Source organism: Homo sapiens, chromosome 2, assembly GCF_000001405.40.
Source record: "Homo sapiens chromosome 2, GRCh38.p14 Primary Assembly".
NCBI classification, from domain to species: Eukaryota; Metazoa; Chordata; class Mammalia; order Primates; family Hominidae; genus Homo; species Homo sapiens.
Genome location: NC_000002.12, coordinates 442,846 through 451,628, shown reverse-complemented (window position 1 = coordinate 451,628; position 8,783 = coordinate 442,846). Strand labels below are relative to the sequence as shown.

Here is an 8,783-nt window from a genome sequence, read left to right as displayed (position 1 = left end):
TACATTCAGTCTTCCTACTCCCAGTTTTAAGTCTGCCTTTCCTGCCCTGAGTCTCCTGGTGGGAGCGTCTGTGGCCACACGGTCACACTGTGCGCTCTCCTTTTGCATGCCTGTGTCACTCCTCCCTGAGGCCAGGCATCTGTCCTCAGAGATGGTGGCCAAGGATATTTCACGGACCTTCCCGTTCTGCAGTCCTGACCTCCCCTCCCCTACATTATTTTATGTTTAGATATCCAGGTATGTAAAATCATTCCCTGTACATCGTATGTGCCAACACAGTGTAAAACTAATTTTATTTTAGTACAAAAATTATGTGTGAATATAGATAGATAGAAAGAGATATAAAAACATACACCAAAATTGTAAAAAAAAAGCAGTTACCTTTGGGCTATGATAATTTTTTCCGTCTTTGGGATGATTTTCTAGTTTTTAAAATAATTTTTAATAAATATGCTAATTGATCATCAATAATCATAACAACATATATTATCAAAAAGGTAAAAAGAAAAATAATGCATGGGGTACTATTTTGGGTGGCTATTACAAAGCAAAAATCATTATGGAGGGTGACGGTTCAAGAGTCACTAGCAAGGAAAATTAGTACAAATTCTCACTTTTCAGACTAATTTCAGAGCTCAATTTAATGAATGAAAAGACTAGATAAAACACTAAATGTAAAGAATACGAACTAGAGTTGAATTTAGTGGCCACCTAGCACAGTGGCCTTTGATTGCACACGAGGCCAACAGCGTTTGCCTGACTTGGGAGATCGATCATGGAGTCCCCAGCCAGCACATGGAGTCCCCAGGTGTCCCAGCTCCACGTCTGGTGCCCGTGCAGTTACACCTGGGTGCTCCGGGCAGCCTGACCACCAGTCTCAGCCCAGATTGCAACCACAGCCATCGCAGACTCCCAGAATCGGAATAGCAAGAAGTTGCAGGCCCCAGGACAGTTCTGTCACTGAGTGGGGGTGTTTGCTGAGAAGCATGCTCAGGCTGTATCTGTGCCAACAGGAGAGCTCCAGGTGTGCAGTGTCTATGAAATCTGCAGTTTTCTGGAACGACATGAACCAAATGTATTTTAAAAGAAAGTCCCGCCTTTGAAATTATTGAAAACATATGGTACTTAAAGTTAAGTGCATTCAGCAGTAGAAAGAAATGTGACAAATATTTTCACAATAAAAGCAATTGAAAATGTTTTATAAGTTTTTAATCTATAGTTAAAGTGTTAAGGTAGTAATAGTCTGATTTGTAGTAATATATTATTTTCAGGCCTCCATCACTCTTTACGAAATGTATGCCAAGAACAAAATAAAATTATGTTTTGAACTACCAATACAAATAAAAATAATTCTATGTAGAAAGGAAACTCTAAAGGGGGCAGTTTTTCTTAACCGACTGTTTCACAACTGGACACCCTAGATTCTATGTTGTCGATGGTGACCGCCTTGGAGGGGCCACCGCTGAAGTGGAGCCTCAGAGGCAAAGCCACCTGCTCTGTGTCATCCTCCAGCACCCAGATTCAACAGCAATCCTCCCCACTCTTCTAGTGGGAAGCAGGCAGAGAATAGAGACCTGGAATGTCTGTCTTCATTAGCAGTGAAGACCTGCCCTCCAATCATAAGATTTGGAAGACTTGAAGTTACCTAGGAGCACAGTCACTTTAGCAGAGGCTTTGGACCACCAATGGGAATGCTAGCACTGCTCCAAGTTTGCTTTTCCACCTAGAGCTGATTACACACACCTCAGCCATCCACACATTCATGCACTGAACAAATACTTACCAAATGCCAAATTTATGCCAAGCATTGCTGATATGCAAGTAAAGAAAGCAAATTTTTTTCCCTACACAAATGGAGAAGGCCAACAGCCCATAATGAATAAGGCAGTGGCAGTGCAGCCTCCATGGGCTGCAAGGTGTCGGGTGTCATCAGCCGGAAGCCGCCTGGCCTTCCCTCTCCCGCAGACTGCTGCCAATGACAAACAGAAATACTGTAAATGTGGAGATTCACTCATGGGGAAGTGTTCAAGAGTAATTTTAAGGCTATCCTTTCAGTTCTATAGAAACTGTACATCTGATCAAAACAAAAATGTTGGCAGTACCAGGAGAACCATCAGTGGGCATGTTTCCTTGCCAAGGACTGGCTCAGACCCAAAGCCAGGGCAGTCTGGCCCTCAGGGTCTTGCAATTTGCTCTTGCACAAGCTAGAGGGACCTCTGCTGATGACGGTGTCCCCTCCCATGATAAGAATCATGACCATTCAGACGAACAAGTCTCATTATTTAAGCACAGAGGGCTAGTGTTGCTTTTTTTTTTTTAATTATACTTTTAAGTTTTAGGGTACATGTGCACAACCTGCAGGTTTTACCTTCAGCAAAGGAAATGGACACCATTTGGCCTATGGGCTATGAACCAGACACCATTTGGCCTATAGGCTATGAACCGAGACACCCAGCTGTAGGCTGTGAAATGATTGAGGGTAACAACCACTGATCCCTGTGTTGCTAGTACTGGGCATGATCATTATATATAGAAATATCACAATAAATGTTTTATATGAATAAATTAATATGCAAATCCCAAATCACATGTCCAGTTACACCAGATCAAAATTCAGTGTGTTAACATTTATTCCCAAATGGGGTATTTGGCCATGAAAATATATTTCTTTGAAAAATAATTGCAAGCTTTGGCTTTCAACACGGACCCATTATATAAATGGAGAAAAACGAGGGTATATAAGTTGCATCAACACTGAAGCAACTGACAATGGTCCATGCAACAGCACCCAGGAAATATAGTGGAAATTGATCATGTAACGCTATGCTAAAAATCCATATCCCAGAGCTGCATTCTGGGGCCAGCACTTCATTTTAAAAGTGAGATAAACGAGAAAAATGTTCTCTTATCAGCCTAAAATCATATTATCTTAATGTCATTTCCATTTCCACTCCGAGACATAGCAACTATCTTCTGCACATTAATAACATAATAACATACCAAATGCAAATGAGGTCTTCGTTCAATGTCCAACAGAGACAATAACACATTAAAGCCACCCTGTGGGTAGTAATTAAAAGAATGAGAATCTGATTCATCGGGGTGACGGCATGAGTTAATTACCCCACGCTCTTTAGCATAACTCAAGTTGAATATCAGGGAGGGGCAATCCCTGGATCTGGGCTCTTAATACCCACTGGTATTGGTGAAGGAGGTTAACGTGTGATCTGCTGGGCAGGGAAGGAGCTGGAAGTTGAGAACCACAATGAGACCCACAGCAGAATTTTATCACTCTTTGGCAGATGAGGCTCAGAAAAACTAAATTACAGACCACAGGGTCACGACTATAAAGAGCAAGCATTGTTTGTCTTTCTGTAAAAGGGTTTTTCAATCAAAATTATGGTGTAATTTGGCACTGAATCTCTGATAAATGAAAACCATCTGAAACGAAAGCTTCTTAGACTTTTTTACCCAGCGTTTCATGAGCAGCCTCCTCCTGGGGCCTCCCGTCATCATCTTCGTGCCTGTGAAGCAGATGGCATGCCCTCTCTTTCAACTTGCCGGCCATTTTCCATTTGCAAGTGACAGGCAGGACTTAGGCAATTTTTACGCATAGTGGATATTTGACAATGGACTTGTAAAGGCCCACTTGACGCTCTTGCTGCTGGACGCAGAGTGAACCCTGAGTTTACATGGACATTTGTCATTGTTCTTAGAGGATACTTAGGACACCCAACACCTGCCACAAGGTCCAGGTCCATAGTAAGGGCAAGCTCAGATGAGTGGCCCAGTCATCCCACTGCTCCTAACAGCACTGCCCTCCCCTGCCTGTTAAGGCAGAGCCCGGGTGTGGCTGTGTCTGCACTGGTGGTGGGTGAGGTGCCAGGCTTTGTGTCTCCTGCAAATGGACAGGCTGTGAGACCTGACACAGTGGCTTCGGGACACCAGTGGCATCTCCCAAGGTTGGCAAGCTGGCCCTGAGTCCACTCCTACTTGGTTGCAGGAATCAAGGAAGGGCCCTCCAAGATAGAGTCAGCCCAGAACCGGAAATGCTTCCTAAAGAGCCGCAGCATCACGAAGGGAACCAAGTGGCCACTCGAGGACAGCAATCTAGGAGAACTGAAGGGAAGAAAGAGAAACACGAAACAGCACGAAATTGGAGGTGAAAGACAACAAATCTGTCCCAGGCCAGTGGTCTGGCTTCGCCACAGTGACACGGTTAGGGCCTCTGTTCAGTTCAGCCACCAGCTGTGCCTGGGGAAAGGCTTAGCTGTCAGCTCACAAATGAACAGCATGTTATCAGTTACTTGTAATTAATGGTGAACTTTTAACCTAAACAATCAGTAAAAGCCAGTTAACTGCTGTGCGTGTGGTTCCTGGCCACCACCTTGCTAGTGCTCCCCATGTCTGAGTGGGGCAGGTGCCAGCCCTGAAGGACGTTCACAGGGTCTCTGACCTGCCGCTCCTAGGAGGTCACAAGGGACCAAGGGAGGGGCTCCGACCTGAACGGAGCAACGGCTGCTGGTTCCTCTTCAACAATCACATTTATTTTTCACCAGTTTTGCATTTCCTAAGTACATATACATTTTTTAACAGATTTCAGCAAATGACCCAGGATTGTTACACTGATTTTAAAAAACTGTTACTTTTAACACTTTTGTTTTTTTATGATTCTAGTGTAATGTTTTCAACTTTGGCTGTAAAAACTGATAAAAATTAAAAAGTTTCAAATGGCACGACTGTAATACATCACATTTGAATTCAAATCAGTGTTACATTAATCTGACCTTTGATGACTGCAGGGATAATACTTTTTAACCATGTGATCAGAATGACAGAAATTTGCATTTTCCTTCCAGATTCCACGTCCTTGTCTCCTCTCTCTCAGGGAGCAGCCATGCTGTGGGGCAGCCACGGAGATTCCTGATAGGCGAGGAGCAGCGAGGGCCGCTGGGGAGCTCTGTTCAGATAACTCCCATGGAGCTTGCTCTGGGCTTGCAGCACATTTACAGTGCCCTTGTGATGTGGGTTACGTCTAAGCCCTGAGCTAAAAGAACAAATCAGATCACTTTGAAATAAGCCCAGCAATTGCAGTGTCCTGCATTATTCAAAAAGCCTTGGTTCTGTCACAGACGCTGTTTTATGCTAGAGATGTGGGATGTGTGCGTGGTGATCAGCCCTGTCGTTAGGAAGCTGTCCATTCGGTAAAGACTGAATTGTGTAGGGGCTGATGCCGCCCTATCAGCTGGAGTATAAAATGCAGTCATTTGAAACTCTCATTCTGTCTTCCAAGAAGATACAGTCTTCATATGTAGCACACTGGGAAAAAGGCATAAACCTTTTATTAACTCAGTTTAACAATGAAAATAGGTTGTTACTGGTTTTACAATATAATGAAGAATTCATAATTGGTGCAATTAGCCTGTTGTGCTGCTGTAAGAAGATTCATGGTGACAAGATGATTTTTTTAATTACATGCAACACGGAACAGGCCCAGCCCTCCCTTCCCTGCTTCGTCTTCCCGCAGCTCTGCATGTGGCAGTTGCTGGCCAAGCACAGGTGTGATCCCAGGATGCAGCCGCATGTTCCCCTGAGAAGCACAGAATGCAGAGCCAGGCCTCAGAATCAAACCCCTCGTTCCTGCACTTTTGCATCCGAAGAATGTTTTTTCCTCCCTTGGATAATCATGAATTTTGTCCAAGGCAAAATTAGATTTAAAAATTTATAGTCACCAATAAACCAAACTTCATACTTTGAAAATAGCAAACATCAACAAAAGAGTAATGATATTCTAATGGAGGCAAAATAAACCTGATCCTCAAAAATAATTTCTTGCTGTTTACTTTGTCATCTCAGGTCTCACCTTCTCTGGGCCTCTACCTCACCCGGCACCACCCACCCCTAACAAAAATGTGTAAACGATGATGAGTAAGTGAGCTGTCCCTCCACAAGACTCGCCTTGAGTCAGAGGGACCCACCCAAGGATGGACACTTCACTTCATGTAAGATGTTCCCAGGACCACACGCTGCTCGGACACCAGACCCGAACCTGGTCTTCCCAGAAACAAAAACACAAACGCCGTGAAAATGCAAATGCCGTGGGAACATGAAAAAGCATTGAGACTATTTCCTCAGTTAGATTAACCTCAGCGAAGGAAAAGACCGAGAGTCTGTTTCCTCGGTTAGATTAACCTCAGCGAAGGGAAAGACCGAGAGCTGGTAACTTTTGAAGAGGCTCGAACAGTGACGTGGGCGTGGGGCGTGCATCCTGCGGGGAACTTCTGGAAGCCCAGACGCTAGAGAGATGCAGAGTGAAATGTTGAAATCAGACCCAAGGGGAACGTGGCTCAGGGCAGGCGGCTGGAGCCCACTGGCCGTGCCTTCCCCTGTGCAGGGCATGTACCGTGACCTCTGCTGCATCTGTGAGGATCACCAGTGCTTGATGACATTCCCACAGACACAGAGTAGGACAGAGCTGACCTGGACTCACACACGCAGGAGCCCTGGGCCTGCACTATTCCCATGGAGGTCGGCAGGGCCCGGCGGGGAGGCCCAGGCCGTGGGCTCCAGCACCTCACTCCTGCCGTGAATTAAGTATGGCGTGTCCACCTTCCCAGGGGCGCGACTTTGTCTGTAGGACGTGGGGGACGCTTCCTTGTCGCAGTGGAGCACGGGTCTGAAACACGCGTGTGAAGCCGCCCCACAATCTCTGCCATGTCATTGAGATTCTCATGCTGCCCCTCACCTCCAGGGCCAGGGTCCCGGGAGAAGAGGGCACAGGGGCTCCAGCCTGATGGGGGGAACATAGCTTCTGCCAGTGGAAGAGGCAGGGCACACATGGAATGGGAGGCTTCCGCCCGAGCCCATCTTTACTTCACGCCGAGCAAATCCCGGTGCTGTGCCCGGGTTCAAATCCCAGTGCTGTGTCTGGGTTCAAATCCTGGTGCCGTGTCTGCTGCAAGTGGGTGGCCTTGACCAAGTTACCAGGGCTGTCTCGGGTTCCTCCCCCATTTAAAAAGGATCCAATACTTCTCAGGGCCTTCAGGTTACCTAAGCCCCACACTGTTGTAAAGAGAACGTAAATGGAGCTCAGGACAGCTGAGCACGTGGAGGTTCCTGGGGTCGCTGGAGAGGGGGTGGAAGCTCAGCACCCGCCCACGAGCCTCGCCCTGGCACCTTTTCCTCTGAATCCTTTGTAGACCCTTTATAACAAAGCAGTGCACATAAACAACGAAAGAGAACCCACCGGACGTTTTGCACAGAGGCCAGTGCATAGTGAATGCCACGTAAATGCTGTTATCAGCCACTTTAAAGTATTTGTATTGTGTGTCTAACTCTGAAAAGTAAAACAAACAGGTATCTCTCTTTGCTAAAAAGACATGAGTCCAAAGATAGCCCAGAAGACTCAGAAAGGGTGAGCAGAGCCCCCCACAACGGGACTTCAGGGAAGTGGGTGCGTCCTGTTTCTCCACAGCCCTCAACAGGTGTAGAAAAAGACTCCTTGGGCTGGGATTTTAAAAATCAATTTTGTGGGTGATGATTTGTTGCAACTGCAACACCATCCTTTTTACCTTCACAACACTCAGAAACCTTCTGAGTATTTCCTAGAAGAATTCCTCGGAACCATCAGCCATCAGAAAGGCTAACGGGAAGTGCCCGCCCTCTCCAAGTGACAGGAATGATTTATCACAGCGGTTTCTCATTCTATTACAGAACCTGAGCTCTATTAAGTTTGGCGTAAGTGTGAACTCTGTTTTTGAAGGGCTATACAACGAAAGAGAAACAGTTTACTGCAAATTAAAATATAATGTACAAAGTTCTCTAATTACCTTTAATTTCACCTCAATCCATTTCAGTATTATGTGTGCATTTTGAGAAAAGTTAGCTGCTATTTTAATAATAGATGTAAAAGACTGTCTCTGAAAATAAGTCACTTCAACCAACCATGAACCAACGGCTTTCAAATACATATCATGGAACAAACGCTGGAAAAGTTGGGGTGGGATTGAAGGACACACGGGGTGGGATTTTTCCTGCACAGACCTTGGCCTCGCCTGGGTTGGTAAGAAGTGGACAGACACACGACCCACAGTGCAGGCTAGGCACCGGCCAAGCAAGTGCTGTGGGCCAAGCTGCTCAGACTTCAGTCTGCAGAGGAGCTGCCGGCGCCCTTGCTAACAGGCAGGTTCCGGTCTGTGGATCTGAGGAGGGGCCCGAGGTGGTGCTCACTGGCCAATGTGGAAACACTGTGAGTGACGAGACGCAGGGAACCCTGGGAGTCAAGGGAGGCGAAGAGCAGAGACGCGGTCCGGAGCAGAGCCGCACAGGTGTGGAGGTGATTGTGGGCAGCCTGGAGGCGCGAAGGCCAGGGCCTCACCTTGTTCACCACGCTGCTTGGTGACTTGGGGAAGCGGGCCCCCTCTCCAGGGAGGGCTGTCTGTGAGTCTGTCTGTGATTCTCCAAGTCAATATCCAAGTGATTGGCAGAGTTCCCTCCTCAAATCCCCCAGCTGATTTAGAGACCAGCATGATGGCCGAGGAGGTGGCTGTGTAGGGGCAGTGTGGGGGGTGGGAAGTGCCACTGAAGACTCACCCGTGGGCACACAGCTGTGGGGGAGCTCCCAGTGACCATCTCACAGCACAGCAAACGGTGTGATGGTCGCTTTGGTGTCCCCTGAAGACTCACCCGTGTGCACACAGCTGTGGGGGAGTTCCCAGTGACCATCTCATAGCACAGCAAACGGTGTGATGGTCGTTTTGGTGTCCACTGAAGACTCACCTGTG

At 46.8% G+C, this 8,783-nt stretch overlaps 2 annotated features.

Moving 5' to 3' along the window:
* Positions 5,981-6,480: an enhancer, noted in NCBI's record as "H3K4me1 hESC enhancer chr2:445149-445648 (GRCh37/hg19 assembly coordinates)". NCBI's record gives its function as "activates a minimal SCP1, AML or CMV promoter by ChIP-STARR-seq in primed H9 embryonic stem cells {active_cell/tissue: H9 hESC(primed)}" and the evidence as "EXISTENCE:reporter gene assay evidence [ECO:0000049][PMID:30033119]".
* Positions 6,481-6,982: an enhancer, noted in NCBI's record as "H3K4me1 hESC enhancer chr2:444647-445148 (GRCh37/hg19 assembly coordinates)". NCBI's record gives its function as "activates a minimal SCP1, AML or CMV promoter by ChIP-STARR-seq in primed H9 embryonic stem cells {active_cell/tissue: H9 hESC(primed)}" and the evidence as "EXISTENCE:reporter gene assay evidence [ECO:0000049][PMID:30033119]".